Below are 19,091 nucleotides of genomic sequence, written 5' to 3'. Positions count from 1 at the left end.
GAACTGTATGACCATGGGCAAATTATTTGATTTCTTTCTGTCTGTTTTCTTACCTATCATATGAAAATAATAATGGTACCGATATGGTTTGGCTGTGCTCCCATCCAAATCTCATTTTGAACTGTAGCTTCCATAATTCCCACGTGTTGCGATGTTGTGAGAGGGACCTGGTAGGAGATAATTGAATCATGGGGGCAGTTTCCCCCCATACTGTTCTCATGGTAGTGAATAAGTCTCATGAGATACGATGGTTTTATAAGGGGTCTCTCCTTTTGCTTGGCTCTCATTCTCTCTTGCCTTCTGCCATGTAAGACATGCCTTTCACCTTCCACCATGATTGCAAGGCCTCCCCAGCCACATGGAACTGTGAGTCCATTAAACCTCTTTTTCTTTATAAATTATCCAGTCTTGGGTATGTCTTTATCAGTGGCATGAAAATGGACTAATACAAGTACCAACATCATAGAATTAAAGGAATTAATATTTCTAAAGCACTTATAATTGTAGTGAGCATAAATAGTATTAATATTCTAACTCTGCTTTCTGCTGTAGACACAGCCAATTTGCTTTCTTGTACAATTTTCCTTCTTGTGTAGCCTGCCCCACCCAAAGGCCCTGAAGAAATTGGCTGTATGTACCATGTGATACTTTTCCCCAACCACAGCTCATGTGACTAACAGTATACCAATTTCCAACAGCCAGCCAATTTGATTCTTTTTCTTTGGAATTTGACTAAGTGGCCCAGGGACTGTAACTTGTCACAGTCCTGTTTCTGTGGTACCTTGGTCAATGAAAATTAATAAGCAGAAAGATTATTCAGAAAGGAAAAATAGATGCTAAGAGAGAAAAAGGAGAAAAATCAAGAGGAGAGGATCCACATAGTCCTAGAGATGGAGAAAGCAGAGGTTCACTGTTTTAGCCTCACAATAAACTCTTTTCTTGAGTTCGTTTAAGTGAACATCTGTTCCCTACAACTAAAGGAAGAAAAGTCCCTATTACTGAACATCTTTGGGGAAAAATACCTAGTCTGATGATGCTACCTACACTCCACAAAGAGACAAAGCCATGGTATGTGAATGGAGACCAGAATGTGAATTTCATGTCTTCATTTGTCAAGTGAACTAGAGTTACACTCTAGTTTTAACTAGAAGTTAAAAACCAACTTACTTTCACAGGTTGACCTGTCCTATGACCCATAGATTCAGATTAGAAACTGAACTTGATTTAATATGTCTACTCTGAAAACTTCTTACTCTGTATTGGTTACTTCAGGAGATCAGCTAGATTAAAATTAGGAGCTTAGGGGAAAAATAACGTTTACTTTTATGCTGTTGGGTTATAACCACAGATATGGTAAATTCTATAACCCTTGGAAGTTAATAATTTATTCACACAGGAAGTTATACTCTTACTGAATCCAGAATATTGGTCATTTACTAGAAATTGACTTCAATGTAATTTTTTTCTGATAGCATTCATTCACTTTCTTTTCTGTCAAAACCTAAAGTATTTGTGGAGACCAACAGGCTCCCAAGGGTAGTGGGGCTGGTCCCTACTCCCAGGACCATTGGGTATATAACCTGAGCCAAATAATGCATTGGTCATTCATTAATGCTGCTCACCAGAATATCCAGTTTCACCCTGATCTGAATACATGACAGGGTTACACTTCCTGGCCTCTGTGGTTGAGTGGGGCCAAGTGACTAGTTCCAGTAAATGATGTGAATGAAAAAAAATATGTGTCACTTTGAGGCCAAGGACTTAATTGCTAATATAGGTCTATCCAAAGGTCTTTCTTCTGCCACAGTGATAGCAACCGAACAGTGGCTGTTCTATCTAGAGTGAGGATGACCAAGAAGCAGCCTACCTTTGATGGCCATGACAGATGCAAAGATTGTCATTTAAGCCCTTGGGATTTGAGAGTTTTGCTATCATGCCATAACCTAGGCTAATCTGTGCTATATCTGTCTTCCGGTTCCAGTGATCCATTCAGTGATGGATTTGTGACAGATCTGGAGTGAGAATCAGGCCCTGCACTTTTATGCATATTCATAGGGAAAAAGCTTCCTCTTTTCTACGAACTTAGACTTATAAAGATGTAACTATGTTGCCAGAATGAGGAACAAGCATGTCAGAGAATGGAATTGGCACAGAGGAAAGCAGATAGAGATGAAGAAGAGAGACTAGGTTCTTCCTGGTTGAGGAAAAAATATATAGATAGATACATCCTCAGATTTTTAATTTACATATATCAAAAATTCTTTTTGCTTAAACACTTTGGATTGGCTTTCCTATCACTTAAATCAAAAGAGTCCTTAACGATATAAAGATTAAACTTAAACTTTAATAGGCACAGTCCACATTCAAATTAAATAATCTGATAGTATACTTGTGTCTCACAACTGGTAACAGCTCTGCAACTAAACTATTTCCTTAATATATGCTAATTGCAAAGTTTGACAACTAGTATTGTCTGACAGTGAGTAGCACTTGATCAAACTCCATAAAAGGCAACATGCTGACATAGTGACAGTTCCAAAAATAGTAAAGATTTATTTTTTAAATGTGTTTATTTTAAAATGACCAATTTTGCTTGGGACTCACCCAGACAGTACTAATCTCCCTGAGGCTACAGATTAAAATGTCATGCTAGTTTATCTGTGGAAAAAAATAATATATGATACAGAATTTGACAAGCATTCAAACCATCAAAATTCTCATTCTATATTGTATTTTACTTTCAGGATATTTTCTTTGTGATATTCATGATGCGTAGATATTTAAACATGAATGTCACCAATGTTTTGAGGTTAACTTTTTCTCAGAAAAGTATAATTTAGTCATTAAAGTATTAATTTTAAATAGTGTGCTGTATTCAAAAAACTTCAAATATTTTCCCACTTTAAGTTATTCATGTTGATCATAAAATTCATTTAAAATGGAAAAGTAAAGGGAAGAAGAAAGTCCACATAGCCACATTGCCTGAAGTCAAATATTATAATATATTGATAAATTTCTGGTAGTTTTTATTTCTACATGGATTGTTATTTGTCTTTAAAGTGGTGAAATATTTGACATATTTTAAAACGTCATATTTACATTAATATTATGTCATAAATATTGCCATATTTATGTCAATATTTGACATATTTTATGACAAACTCTGTACCTTAATTTTACCATTTGTAATCGGTGTAATCACTGTTGGATATCAGTTCAAATGACCTGAGTGCTTACCACACAGCTGAGAGAAACGTTCTCTCCTGATGTAACTGCATTCTGACTGTAGGTCCATCTACCCTTGGAGCTTTACCCAGTTCAAGGTGTCACAGTTACAAGTATTGTACAGAGAAAAAAACCCTACATAATCTAAGTAGTCCTCAGTCTTCATGTATGGTCCCATTCTCTTTTGCTTTGCTGATGTTGCTGCCTCACTGCTATTGAAAACGGAAGATCCCCCATGATCTGATGCAATGCCCTCGTTTGGTGTATTTACCTACATGTGCCACTATTCGGGCAATAGTTTTTAAGGTGAGGAAAAACAAGAAAACTCTCCACTGTTACGCTATGCGTGGTTCAGTTATTCCACCCTGAGCTTGAGCTCCCGATGACGCTGTACCTTAGTGGGCCCCCGCACCCTGGCCCCCAACATGCCCACACAGTAATTTTTTCAAAGAAATTTTCACAGTGCTAGAACTGTCTTATATTTTATTCAGTTTCTGGACAAAAATGAGCCTAGGTCATCCTAGGATGAAATTTAGTCATCCATTCAAATTTCTTTCTCTATTATGCTATGTTTTCTTGCCAGCTGACAGCAGAATATCCACTTAAACCCAACAGAAACGTTTCAATAATGTTGCACCTCAGGAAAAAAAAAAAGGGAGTGATGACTTCAATCTCTTTCATCTTAGAAGGTTCTGTTCACTCTGTAGATTTGCCTGTGTATTCCTAGGGACGATCAGATTCATATACCAAGGAGTATACAGATAAGTAGATGTATTGGCTAAGACTCTTTGGGGTACAGGTAACAGAAACCCAAATCCATTTTACTTAGTTATAAGTGAATTAATTATAGTAATCCTTGATTGTTAATGGGGCAAACAGACAAATGTGGAGGGCGTCAGATAAAAACTCTGTCTCAAATTGGAACATCATCTTTATCTAATTACTTCTCTTCTCTGCATCTTTCCTTTTTCATCTAGTACTATTAATGATCATTTTTTTTCCAGCAGCAGAAATCACGGCTGTCGACAACTCTGGAGTTTTATATCCTAAGATATGAGCTACTCCCAAAATTACCCTTTTTATTAGGCATCAGGGAATTATGATCAGCCTCTTGTAGGTCAAGTGTTTAATTAAATGTAGGGATATTAATGAACATAGAAGCTCCCACTGCATCTGCATGGATAGAAAGGGCAATTTGCAGAAATTGTAGTACAGTTCCCAAAATACAAGGTGTCTAGCAGGGAAAGCAATAGATATACCTTCCAGCCTGCATTTTCTCAAGCCTAACAGTGCACAATTACATCTTTCCCAGTTAAATGGCCTAAGTACCTCATAAACAATATTCAAAAGATTTTTCACAAGATTAAAAAATCTGCTCCAATGCACCTTAATATTTTGTTTCTCTAACTGGGAAATAGACACTATTGGGAATTTTTCAAGGATAGTTTCTTTTTTATTTAAAAACTAAATTATTTCTCACTTGGCATTCCAATTCACAGGGAATCTTATTTTCTTAAGGAAAACAGTATTTATGAATTAAAAATACTTCTAAGTACACTACCTCCAAGTTTAACACATGAAACAAATCTTATTTTCTCAGTAAGCATTTACTTTAATGTTTCACTGAAACAATTTTACTCTATTAAATGAGATTTGCCTGCGTTGACAATACAGCACTCATTGAGAAGCACAAAGGAAAATGTAGTATGTGTGATTTCATTATCTATAAAATTATCATTTCCTTCTTAGGTAGACTCTAAAATATCATAAATTTAATACACAAATTCCAGAATTATAAATAACAAATTTAGAATAATCTTTAGTGTAAAACAGCGAGATCTTGATAAATGTGCTTTTGGATACGTATTTTTTTGGCTTGCATACTTTTAAAAGAATTTTTTGATACAAATTCTTTTGAAATTTTCCAAACCCCTCTCCAAATAAAATGTGTGAAGTCAGGGTTGCAGCTAAGGGAGCAACCAGGCAGGAATGAGGGGATTACTAAGATGGCAAACACCTTTCCTGTAATGTAGATGCAGGAGTATCAAACTGTAAGCAATAATCAAGTGAGCAGAACATGACACTGTCAGTCCTTGGGATCACAGCCATGTGGGAAAGGTGAACTTGAGACCTTCACCAAGACTCTCAAGAAGGCTAATGTAGCCCCAGGTAAGTAGCAGATGGTTCTCAGCAGAGGTAGGAACAAATGCCACCTTGAGGAAAGCAACTCCATTATGCCTGAAGAAACCCCACGTCTGCATGCTTGCAAGCAAAAGTTCTCAAACAAATTAGAAGCTAAATACCATGGATGACAGATATAAACACGCCCAAAGACTTCAGATGTTAGACTTAGCAGATTTAAGATGAAAACAACTATATATGAAAAGTTTAATAAAGGACAGTATCCCAAAAATAAGAAGGCAGGAAGAAACTCTAAAGATAATTAGGGAGATTTAAATAAGGGCCAAGTAGAACTTTTTTTTTAGACAGGGTCTCACTCTGTCACCCAGGCTGGAGTGTAGTGGCATGATCTCAGCTCACTGCAGCCTCAATCTCCTGGGCTCCCACCTCAGCCTCCCCAGTAGCTGGGAAAATATAACTTTAAGAAATAAAAAATAAAATTGTCTAAAACAAAACTCAAATAATAGATTAAAAGTACATTTTTAAGGTATGCGTTATTTTTGCCATTTCAAACTGGAATGTGAATAAATTGCACAGAATATGGCACATAGAGACAGGGAGCTGGAAAACAGAAGGGAAGTAAACAATACGGAATTTAAAAAGAGGTGGTCATATATACATCTATGTGGAAACTCGGAAGGACAGAGTGCATACAATGGAGAAGTGCCAGCATTTGATTAGAAAGCACATAAGAACTTTTCAGAAATGTGAAAAGGCATACATCCACTTATTCAGGAAGCACAATATATTGTATTCAGAAAAAGTTTAAAATTTGTATCTAGACAGATCATACATAGACGCAAAACACCAAGTGCAAAGAAAAGATCTTGAAAGCAGCAGGCAAAATAAAGCAGATCACCCATAAAGTTATGAAAATTGCATCCACTGCAGTCTTCAGAACAGCAATAAAGAGTGGCATAATATCTCCAAAGAAGTGGAAAAAATTCATTTTCATCCTAGCATGTTATATCAAAGGTGGTAGGTGGTCTCCAAAGACGATGCCTAGTGAACTATGCTCTCTCCCAAACAAACCAGAGTTACTCAACTTTAACCTATAGAGTGCTGCCAGAGAAGAAGAAGAAAATGTATCAGGACAAATATAAGTATATGTGATCAAACAGAGAAATACATAAAAGCAAAAGAATAATTGAAAATTTCAGAATAGTGGTTAAATTTGGTGGGGATGAGTGACTGTGGTGAGGACAAAGGGGATGGAATGAGGTGGGGCAAGTAAGGAGATGCATACTTTTATCAATAATGATCAGTTTATTGTTTGATATTAGCTTTACTAGTTGTCCATTTCATTATATGGTGTGACTTACATATATTTTATAAATATTCTCAGGCATGAATCACATATTACATTTGAACAACTTAATCTTAAAAACAATTGCATTGTGTAGGAAATGTCATTTTTCATGGGCAAAAACCATTTTCCTGTCTAACTCTCTAAAATATTGATTGCATAGTAAGTAATAAGCTCCTATTTAATAAAGTATTGTTCCTCTTTACTGCTATGAGAAATCTTTTCTGGCTCATAATTAAATGACTCTCATCCTTTCACTAGAAATCATTCAGACATAAAGGAATATAACACAATACAGACCTTTCATTCTTAATATTCAGACTATGCTTTGGCCTCAAATAGTTTTTATCTTTTTCATTACATGGGGTATGGATTGCTTTTTGTGTTTCTGTTTCCATAGAAAATGTCCAACTGGCTTTCATTCTTTGATTAAAGAATGTTAAATAAACAGTTGAGATGGAGTCTCATTTGCTTGTTTTATGCTCCACTAGATGGAAAAAAATGCACCTACTATGTCTGAGACTAATAACAACATAGCACATTGTAATGTATCAATTTAACATTGTCAAAAAGTGCAGATGAATTTGCAATACAATTTACATTTCCACGAGTTTGCTCATTAATTTATTTAATTTACCTAATGTTTTTAGCACTTACTATGTTGCAATTGTGCTAAGTCATGACATGTAAAAAAGAATATATATTATTGCTACAGTAGTAGAATGTGGGATGTGTACAAAGGATGGGGTTGGCACACACACAAAAAAAAGAGCACTTGATTCCTCCTAGAGAGCTTAGGATATCTGGACAGAAAAAGAAAGAGTTGAACTGGAACTTATAGAATGGGCAAGAGTATATCAGTTAAATGTGGCAGAAGAAAGATTTTCTAGAAGACAGATTATGTACAAAGGCAAAAAAAAAGTGGCTTATTCTAGCAACTTGGCCAATTTAACTGATGACAAATAGCCACTTTCCCACTCCACAGGAATTCTGGACAAAATGTCACATAAACACACACACACACACACGTGCACACACACACACACACACAATTATATGAACTCAAAAGCTAAAAAAGAAATCCCCCCTAGATCTGGACTCAAGGATCTAAAAAGCAAGAATTCTCTTTCTTCACTAGGGAACTCGAGGAATTGATTCTGTGGGTGCTCCTCCCCCTATCAGCCTCTTCTTTTCAACCCCACCCATGCACACGTGCCAGGGGCTTGAGGTACAGTTTAATATCTATTCCCAGACATACGATACAACCTCCAGCTGCACAGGGAGGGAGCTTGAACTAAGTCATGAAGCTGGAATCTCAGAAGGGCATCACTGGCCATGAGAGAGGCATAACACTCTCTGGTTATTTGGTTATTGGTAGCAATAACCAAAACCCTTTTGCTTGTTGGCTCAAGAAAATAGTCAAGAAGCACACACAAAAAAAATTAATTGCTTCGGCTTGGGGGAAAAGGGAGAAGAAGAACTGATATTTATATCTGATCAAAAATTAAAATCAATACTTGGAAATGAATGTCTAAGGGCAAGAGCCATAGAACAGAATCAGTATGAAATTCTGCAAGATTACGCTGTACTCCTAGATAGATGATATGGTGTTATACATCATGTTAATAGATAGATGATGGAATAATCAATCTAAAAAAGACCATAAAATAAGTATGCTTAAATAATTAAAGGAATAAAGGAAGAAATACAGTTGGCCCTTGAACAACATAGGTTTGAATTCTGTAGGTGTGCTTGTGCACAGATTTTCTTGCTCCTCTGCCACTCCTGAGACAGCAAGACCAACCCCTCCTCTTCCTCCTCCTCAGCCTACTCAACATGAAGATGACAGGGATAAAAACCTTGATGATTATCCACTTCCACTTAATGAATAGTAAATATATTTTCTCTTCCTTATGATTTTCTTAATAACGTTTTCTTTTCTCTAGCTTATTTTATTATAAGAAGCAGTATATAGTACATATACCTTACAAAATATGTGTTAATAGACTGTTTATATCATTGGTAAGGCTTTTCTCCTGGTCAACCGTAGGCTATAAGCAGTTCGGTTTTCGAGGAGTCAAAAGTTATACGCACATTTTCAACTTCTTGGTGGTTGGCACCCCTAATCCCCCTGCATTGCTCAAGGATCAACTATATAAAGCATAGTAAAACAATGAAGCAGATTGGAAAAAGCACTAAGCTTTTAGAAATGTTAATTATAGTGAATAAAATGAACAATTTAAACAAATGATAATAAATTAATAATGTGTATAATAAACCTAAGGAAATTACCCAAGCACATCATATAAAGTATTTAAAAATATCAAAGGAAGATTATGAAATATGGACAATAATATAAATTATGTTTAACTCATTTATATTTATTGTCATAACAGATTATTTTACTTATATTATCTTGCTTACACTCGCTCTTAAAAGTAGACACATATCACCATGCTGATGTTTTGTTTGTCTGTTTTCTTTCCATTATCTCTCTTTCATATAAATTTTTACTTTTGATTTTTTTTGCTTTTGTATTATTTATGCTCAATATCAAATTTTAAAAATAAGAATAATACTTGCTTGTTCTCGATATCTTGAATCTTATTAAGTCAGCCTATTAATTTTATCTACTTATTTTGTAGATAAGAGCATGTGAGTAGTCCATTCTGAGAGCCCTTGTATTTAAAAACAAAACAAAACAAAAACAAAATGACTTGTTTGTAGGATGAAAACCCTGATTCCCCAATCTTGCCCTTTGAGAACTTGAGAACTTTGAAGATTTTGGTCCATTTCTATTTCCTGATATTAGTGCTGCAAAGAATAAAACTGATACCAGATTGATTTCATTCCTTTTTTACATAATCGGTTTCTGGTTAATGGATGCTTATGGAATTATGTTTTATTTAAACCTACATTTCAGTTTGCCATGTTATGTCTAAGTATGGGTCTTTTTTCATAAATATTTTCTAGTAACCAATCAGCACTTTTAACTCAAGGCTTTAATCAACATCAAAAAATCAAATTCACCTAGGCCTTTGATTGTTTCTTTTTTTATGATTGCTTGCCCTCTTCTTCAATGGTACCTATAATTATTAGTTTGCAGCACTTTGAAATGACTCCTTATCATATTTTGGTCCCTTTTCATCTCAGCTTGTTATCTTTATGCCACATCCTTTTGTCCTTTCATCTTTTCTTCATCTATTCTGATGATTTTCTGCTAGTGTTTCTTGGCAATTATGTTTACTGGCTACAACTAAACTTATAAAATAGGTTTCTTTAATATTCTCCAGGTAACTGTAATTCTCATTATTCAAATGACTGTGAAATATCAGGATGATGCTCTCTCTCTCTTCCTTTGTATTTCTACAAGTTTTTTTTAATATATATTCTTTAGAAATCTTGGTATTGATTTGTTTTTCTTAAAACACCATGTAGGATTTTGGTTTTTTTCTTACCCTTGAATGAATGCTCATCCACCTTTTATAGTTTGGTAACTATTTGAATCTCTTTCTTGACTCTAGAGACGAGATCCCTTTGCATAATATCTGATTCAATTGTCAGCATCTAGCTATTTTTACTGAGTGTAATTCCTCTGGACTAAGGTATGTCTTTCTCCTACCTGTGCTGACTAAATTTCCAGCGCTTTGAATAGATTGAAGGTTTCAAAATGCACCACCCAGCATGCATTTCTGCTAGAGTTCTTATTGTCTCCATCTTTATCTTTATACTTGCAGGAATTTTGGGATCCATAACAGCTAAAATTATTACCTTTTGTGGATCCACAATATCTTCTTTCTAGATTAAAGATATTTCATAATATTTTAATACAGAATTTAAATACAAGGCATTTGACTGCAAGTTTTAATCATCTAAGCTTCTTTGTTTGACATTAAGCCAGTTTACAATATTAGAAACTTACTCACCGGTTGAAATACGAAGGTGTAATCCTATTTATTGTGGCACTTGCTCTTCTTTTATGATCTATCTCAGAACCAAGGTTGTTTTTATCAAGGTATGGAGAACAAGGTAAAAACAAAGTGACTGGCTTCTGAAAAGGATAAGTTGATGGGTGCTGAATGTGAATCAGAGGGCTTGTGGATTGGACTGAGTAGAAAGTATCTTGCTGTGCTTTTAAATGTGCCACCAGAGCTGGGTCAACTGGTTGGATCTAAACAAAAAATATATTTTTTCTTATGTTTTAATAGAAAAGATGCAAACTATTGGTACATTTCTAATCCAGTTTTTTGAAAATTCTATGCAGCATAGTTTTATACATTTCTCTATGTATTGTTAGTTGTAATCAACAATGCATTTTATAAAATATTTATAATATATAAAAGAACACAGTATTAGGGCCCTTTTTACAAAGTCCTTCTGAAATCTGGGTTCCCTGTCTTATGTTATAAATAACTAAGAAACAGACTTAATTGCAGGCAACAAAATGACCTAGAAAACAAAATAGATGTTTTATAATGATTTCTAATTAGAAATTGTTAGATCAAGTGATCTTTAGAAACTAGAAAAACATGACTTGTTTCTTTTCACATAAGAATGGTTAAAAATAAAAAATAGCTAAGATGATTCCAACATTTCAAAGTGCGTGGAAAATATCTATAAATAAGATATTTATTATATGTTTTCTTCCTAATCGTTCTTCTTCACTTACCACTTACATTAACAACTGGGAGAAATAGAGAGGAGAGCATGGGAGGGGAATGAGGGTAGACGAACAGGGAATATTATTTGAGGAAATAAATCTTGTAAAATATACATTTACATGCCCTTTGCAAATAGTGTTTGCGTATATTAAATCCTTACTCCCAGAAAATGGCTGTTTCATAATTAAATATAACAAAATATTTATTATAATAAATATTTTAATTGATTGTCCTCTTTTTTGTCATCCTCGCTGATCAAAATCTTTGAATTATATGTATGTTCCAAAGTCTGTTGTCAATTCTTTCATAGCCATGCAACATAAATTTTCCCAATAAATATCATAAAGAAAACAACACAACACAAAAGACTAACTGGGAAAATCTTTCGAATAAAGAGAAGATTTATTTTTAATGAGATTTAATATGCTCAAAATCATTACATTATTGCTGATATCACTATATATTAGGCCGTTACAACTACAAGAAAATAATCCATTTTTTGTTATATTAAATATTGATACCTTCTTTGTTGTTTAGAACCATGCTTGATGACCCACAAAATCTATGAGCAGGAACTCACCTATTTTTAATATGTTTACCTTTAACTGCACCAGCACTGGAGAGGTAAAAACTCCTGGAGGGTAATTTAAGGATATTCGGGAATCCATGCTTGACTTAAGAGCGAGGCCTTTCTTTGTTACTGTGAACGACTCTTTCTTTAAACAAGACACAACAGAAAAGATACCCAATTTGTAAACTTTTACTGAAGCACAGGTCCCCTGTATAGAATAAAGAACATTAAAATAAGCTATAGCACTGATTTGAAAAATATTTGCTGTATAGACTCTATGGATTGTCAAAAAAATCTATACACTCTTTATTTAATCACCTACAACTTAAAATGATTCCAATAACCTAAAATGGATGGTCATTATATGAGATTAAGTAGAAATAGATAAGAGTTTCTCAAATTTAGACTACACAATAAAAAACAGAAATAAACATACTTCTTATATTTAAATTAAATCTTCCCCAAAATTGTGTGAATAATGGGCAATTATTTTCAGTGTTTTCACAAATATGATTGTTCCTAGAATTCTAGCCTCCATTAGCGAGAATCGATTTTAAATATTGACCTTTATCCAAAACATTCAACACTGTTCTAGGGAATCCTAAGGACTGGAATTCCATTATTTGTGTAGTTTGCTCAAACACTGTAACACCTGTGCTGTCAGCAAATTCTTTCTTCTAATAGCTCACAGTATCTTAGGTTCCCCAAATAAAGTCATTTTCTCTTTGCCTCTCCTCTGTGCAGTGGGAGCAAATGACTAAGATATTTGTGTTTCTTTTTATACAATGACATTCAAATTTGTAATGCATATATACAGACACATACTCAAGGTTTTTTATTGCACAAAAGGGAACTGCGTACATAAATGAAAACAAAATGATCTTCTCCTATAATCACCAAAGCTTAAAATGAGGAGGCAGACTTAGAAGTAATTTGGTCTATTCATACTTCCCCAATCAGCAGCCGGGCTCTGCCCCAGCATGCGTGGATAATCATGCTCACATACACGAAAAAACATTTCAGGGACAATCACAATGGAAAATAGTCTACCATTTGAAAGCTGACTAAGGAAGAGATTTCACAATATCGCTGAATGAATCTGTCTCTGGGAAAATTCAGGGCATGGTGAATATTGTTAACCGGCCAGAGGGAAAATTGTGAGAGGTGAAAAAGAAAGATCTTCTAGAAACCAACAGTGGTTGCTGTGCACTTCAATCATATTTGATAGATACTGAAAGGCCAAAAGGGTTTTTAAATAATTAGAATTTTATAATGTCATACGATCCACATAAAAATTTGGAAGTAATCCAAAGTTTAAAATGTTTTTCTTACTATAAAGAGAAAAATTCACGCCTGTATTTGTTATGATAGACAATGATTCCCTCGCTCTCTCTTTCTCTTTCTCTTCCTCTCTCTCTCTCTTTTTTGCTTTAATTATCCATTTACTGAACATCTTCCAAACCCATTTTGTGACAAGTGGGCTACAAGCAGTTTTTGCTTGTATTGTGATAGTTACACAGACTGGCCAAAACTTAAGAGCCCCAGTCAAGGGCAATGCTGACTAGACTATCATACCTATAAACTTCTGATACTAAATATAAAATGTATTAGTTGCAGGAACTGAAATAAGTAAATGTAATAGGCTTAGCTTTCATACTCAACTATAAAACCTTATTTGTAACCCAGAAAAAATCAAAATCACAAAATAAATATATAATAAATAATTCCATGTATATATGAATTTTTTTACATTTATTCCCTGCCTGTCTCATCAAACGACAACTTACATAAAGCTGAAAAAGATAAATATTTTAATTGCTTAAAAAGAAGTTCAGTGGCCCAAAGAAAAACTTTAAGTATTAGTCTCCATAAACTCCATACTAAATTTATTATTTTTATTGTTTTGAGACAGAGTTTCACTCTTATTGCCCAGGCTGGAGTGCAGGGGTGCGATCTCGGCTCACCGCACCCTCCGCTTCCCGGGTTCAAGCGATTCTCCTGCCTCAGCCTCCCCAGTAGCTGGGATTATAGACATGCACTACCAGGCCCAGCTAATTTTGTATTTTTAGTAGAGACGGGGTTTCTCCATGTTAGTCAGGCTGGTCTTGAACTCCCAACCTCAGGTGATTCGCCCACCTTGGCCTCCCAAAGCGCTGAGATTACAGGCCTAAGCCACCACGCCTGGCCTCCATACTAAATTTAATAGTTGTTATATTCTCTCTTCACAGCATATGAATTTGTGATCATACAGAGCCTCAGAGTTATTACAATTAAAATTTGACATGAAAATGATAATTTATTAACAACTAACATGTGTTTATAGGCTTCCGTCTCTCTTCATAAGTTTATTATCTATTTAATTCTTACAACCATACCAGGTAGACACTATTATCATGTTTATCTCTCAGATGAAGTAACTGAGTCACAGCAAGTTTACATAATTTTCCCAAGTTCACACAGCAAGAAAGTGTAAAAACCGTATTTCAAACCTAACCAGTCTTCTTCCACAGCCCACATCTTAACTACCACATATACTTTCTCCCATGTGTAGACTAAATTTCATTTCTAGACTTACTAACAATCTCAAGGCATACACAAACACATACACAAATTTTTAAATTTTTTATCTATTTTCCCAACCCGTGGATAATAAAAATTAAAGCTACTATCATCTGGAGATTCTAACATTCTTAAATTTAGACAAGGGTCCATCATATTAGAAATGTTGGTCTGAAGTTAGTCTAAAGCACAAAAGTAATTAAGCCATGATTTTGGTTTTGTTTCCTAGGTGAAAAAAATAACATTTGGTAGGTGTTCGACCCAAGCTCTCCATTCCTAACTTTGGCTAATCATTTCCATCCTTTGATCTTTATGGATGGCAATAAACTGTGAACGCACTGGCACAAATTCAAAAGTCCTTCCATTTATTACTAGTGGAGCAATTATATCTACACTACAATCTGTTAGTCTGAGTGATATTTATAAGAGGAGCCAAACAGCAAATGTAGATATAGCCAAGAATTTACTAACCTTATAACCTCCCTTCATTCCTTCTAGTGAATTTGGGTTTAGGTAACTTGATTGAAGGTTTATGTCACACACTTTCACCATGATATCTCTGTAATTTCCTCTGTAACGTGCAGTAAATGGAATTGCAATGCCTATTGGAAATGGAACTCTCTTTTCCTTATCTGAGCATTCAATAGTTATGACGTTGCTAACTAACTCTTCATTATCACCCACTATTAAAGAACTCATGTGATTTATTATCCGGCATTCTAGTTGTTGTAGAACATATGATGGTGCTGTAATATAACAAGACACTTGGGGGCCAGTAACATCACTCAGCACATCAAGATACCTGGAGGGGGAAAAAGAATGTCATTTTTCCAATTATTTGATTTATGTACTTTACAGCTAAATGCAGAAAAGCACAGACTCTAGATCTACATTGTCTTGGTGTGAATTCCAGTTCTGATCAACTCTGTGACCTTGGGCAAGATCCTCAGCCTCTCTGTGCCTCAGTTTCCTCAATGGTAAAATGGTGATAACATAATACCTATCTCACGGGAGTATGAATTGAATTAAATGAACCATTACATGTTAAGTAATTAGAGCTATGTCTGGTACACCATAGTTGTTATATATATTAGCTATAATTACTTTTGTTACTATTGTTATTTAAGCAATTGATTATTCCACAATAAGAAGCTGAAGATTGCTGAAGTTTCTTGGTAAAATCAGTACTAATACTTGAATAATTTCCTCAATTGTGAGGAGAGGGAGTAAACATATATGAAGTATTAGAATTGTCTAAACACACTAGATCAAATGATGATGATGATTATATATTTTTAGAAAAGCTGAGAAAGATACAAAAGAACTGTAAATTTATCATTAATCATAGTAATTAGGCAAAGATTACTTATAATCCCCAAAAAAATCAATCCAAAATTTTATTTTGATCATTCATTTTACTCTTTTTTAACCATCAAATTTGCCAAGGATTATAGAGTTATAGATTTGAATTCAGATTTGAGATCAGTCACTATTTACTTGACCTTACACATTAATAATTAATATTAAAATAGTTAATATTTTGCTGCTTTCTATTAAGTAGTTTTTAGGTTACACACTATTCTCACAACTATTGTATTAGGTAGGTGCTACTAACATAATTATTTTACAGATAAAAACACTGAGGCTCAGAAAATTTAACTTTCTTTTAAAGATCCCACAGATGGTAAGTTTTAGACCAGATAATTGGCTCCATCTATCTTTAATGTGAAAGTCCAAACTCTTTAATATAATATCATAATTCCTCAAATCATTCAAAAGTGCTGGTTACTTTATTCATTACAAATTGAAACTAATATCTAATTCATAACAGTGTGAAGATTGAATGTGATAAAACATTTAAACTTACAATAATGTGTTGGCCTAAGATGTATGCTCAATAAATTCTGATTTTCTACATTAAAATTACCAACTTGAGTTCCTCTTTTTTTACTACTTCTCATTTATACCAGTGAAATGATTGAAATACTGGAAATGTTGAAGAGAAATAAGAGGATCTATATATAACATAGCATTAATGTCCAGCTCTAAAATAATCAGATTTTAGACGTTTTTCAATTACTTGTAAATAGAATTTTAAAGCACAATTTAACATAGAAATCCAAAAAATATGTAGAAATTGCAGAGAGGGTCATTGATTTATGTTTACAATTCTAAACTCATAGTTAGAAGGAATAGAAAGTGACTCAGCACATTGTTCTGCTTGAGTATTCTTTGGTGATGGTGATAAAAATAATTCAGAAAATGAGAAACATTGTTTAATAGAGGATACAGTGACCCAGCGTTGTATAACTTTAGGAATGACTCTCCTCTGTGCCTTGGAAACCATCTGAATACACTTTTCTTCCAGGAGTTATGTTTCTCAACTGACAGATGAAGTAGAACAAGGTGACTTTTAAATGGTTCCATTCTCTTTAGCCCTAGTCAAATAGATTTAGGCTAGACAGTAAAATACAGTTATGTGGCATGGCACTGGTATACAAATAGACACATAGACCAGTGGAACAGAAAAGAGGACCCTGAAATAAAGCCAAATACTTACAGCCAACTGATCTTCAGCAAAGCTTACAAAAATATAAACTGAGGAAAGGACACCCTATTCAACAAATGGTGCTGGGATAATTGGCAAGCCACATGTGGAAGAATGAAACTGCATCCTCGTTTCTCACCTTATACAAAAATCAACTCAAGATGTATCAAGGCCTGAAACCATAAAATCAGACCTGAAACCAAAAAAAGTTCTAGAAGATAACATCAGAGACCCAGCACAGTGGCTCACGCCTGTAATCTCAGCACTTTGGGAGACCGAAGCGGAAGGATCACCTGAGGTCAAGAATTCAAGACCAGCCTGAACAATATGGTGAAATCCTGTCTCTACTAAAGATGTAAAAATTAGCTGGCATGCTGGTGGGCGCCTGTAGTCCCAGTTACTTAGGAGACTGGAACAGGAGAATTGCTTGCACCTGGGAGGTGGAGGTTGCAGTGAGCTGAGATCGTGCCACTGCACTCCAGCCTGGGCGAAAGAGCAAGACTCCATCTCAAAATAAAATAAAATAAATTTAAAAAGATAACATCAGAAAAACCTTTCTAGACATAGGCTTAAGCAAAGACTTCATGACCAAGAACCCAAAAGCAAATGCAACAAAAACAAAAATATATAGGACTTAACTAGACTAAAAAGCTTCTACACAGCAACATAAACAATCAGCAGAGTAAACAGACAACCAACAGAGTGGGAGAAAATCTTCTCAATCTATATATCCGACAAAGGACTAATATCCAGAATCAACAAGAAACTCAAACAAATCCAGAAGAAAAAACAAACAATCCCATCAAAAAGTGAACTAAGGACATGTATAAACAATTATCAAAAGAAGATATGCAAATGGTCAACAAACATATGAAAAAATGCTCAACATCACTAATGATCAGGGAAATGCAAATCAAAATCACTATGCAATACCACCTTACTCCTGCAAGAATGGCCATAATCAAAAAACAAACAAACAAGATGTTGGTGTGGATGTGGTGAAAAGAGAACACTTTTACACTGTGTGTGGGAATGTAAACTAGTAAAACCATTATGGAAAACAGTGTGGAGAATCCTTAAAGAACTAAAAGTAGAAGTACCATTCAATCCAGCGATCCCACTACTGGGTATCTACTCAGAGGAAAAGAAGTCATTATGTGAAAAAGATACATGGATACTCATGTTTATAGCAGCGCAATTCACAATTGCAAAAATATGGAACCAGCCCAAATGCCCATCAATCAAGTGGATAAAGAAATTGTTACATATACATATTTATATCATGCCCTGGAATACTATTCAGCCATAAAGAGGAATGAAATAATGGCATTCACAGCAACCTGGATGGAATTGGAGAACATTACTCTAACTGAAGTTACTCAGGAATGGAAAAACAAACATTTTATTTTCTCGCTTACAAGTGGGAGCTGAGCTCTGAGGATGCAAAGGCATAAAAATGATACAATAGACTTTGGGGACTCTGGGGAAAGGGTGGGAGGGAGGTGAGGGATAAAAGACTACACATTGGGTACAGTGTACACTGCTCAGGTGATGGGTGCACCAAAATCTCAGAAATCACCACTAAAGAACTTATTCGTGTAACCAAACACCACCTGTTCCCCTAAAACCTATTGAAATAAAAAAAAATAAGAAAAATTTTTAAATTAAAACTTTTAAAAATAAAATACAGGTATATAGAACATAAAGGCATACCAGTCAAAAATGGACTGCACATATAATGGTGGTCTTAAAAATTATAATACTGTATTATTGCTGTACCATTTCTATGTTTAGATATGTTTAAATACACAAATACTTAGCATTGTGTTTTAGCTGCCTAAAGTATTCCGTATAGTAACATACTTTACAGGTCTGTGGCCTGGGAGCAATATGCTATACCATGTAGACTAAGCGTGCAGTAGGCTATACCATCTAGATTTGTGTATGCACATTCTGCAGTGTTTGCACAATTGACAAAATCACCCAACCATCCATTTCTGTGAACATGTCCCCATCATTAAGTAACCGATGACTGTAATC

At 34.6% G+C, this 19,091-nt stretch overlaps 1 protein-coding gene across 11 annotated transcripts in view; it reads right to left on the bottom strand.

The window, feature by feature from the left end:
* The window catches only part of DTHD1 (death domain containing 1), a 65,896-nt gene that overhangs the window by 41,834 nt on the left and 4,971 nt on the right, over nucleotides 1-19,091 (bottom strand). For 3 of the 11 annotated variants that reach the window (XR_007057923.1, XM_011513693.3, XM_011513696.3), the window contains 4 exons: nucleotides 14,975-15,305; nucleotides 11,973-12,152; nucleotides 10,639-10,883; nucleotides 10,484-10,510 (listed from right to left, as the gene is read on the bottom strand). Coding sequence is in view for 8 of the 11 variants with exons in the window: in XM_011513693.3 (XP_011511995.1) it covers nucleotides 10,484-10,510; nucleotides 10,639-10,883; nucleotides 11,973-12,152; nucleotides 14,975-15,305 (783 nt within the window). In the remaining 3 variants the exon portion in view is untranslated. Of the gene's footprint in view, nucleotides 1-10,483; nucleotides 10,511-10,638; nucleotides 10,884-11,953; nucleotides 12,153-14,974; nucleotides 15,306-19,091 lie in introns of all 11 variants that reach the window. The other 8 variants (NM_001170700.3, XM_011513695.3, NM_001136536.5 and 5 more) reach the window with 5 other exon arrangements.

The sequence above is a fragment of the Homo sapiens genome, chromosome 4 (assembly GCF_000001405.40).
Source record: "Homo sapiens chromosome 4, GRCh38.p14 Primary Assembly".
In the NCBI taxonomy this organism is placed as follows: Eukaryota; Metazoa; Chordata; class Mammalia; order Primates; family Hominidae; genus Homo; species Homo sapiens.
This window is presented reverse-complemented; position numbering and strand designations above follow the sequence as displayed.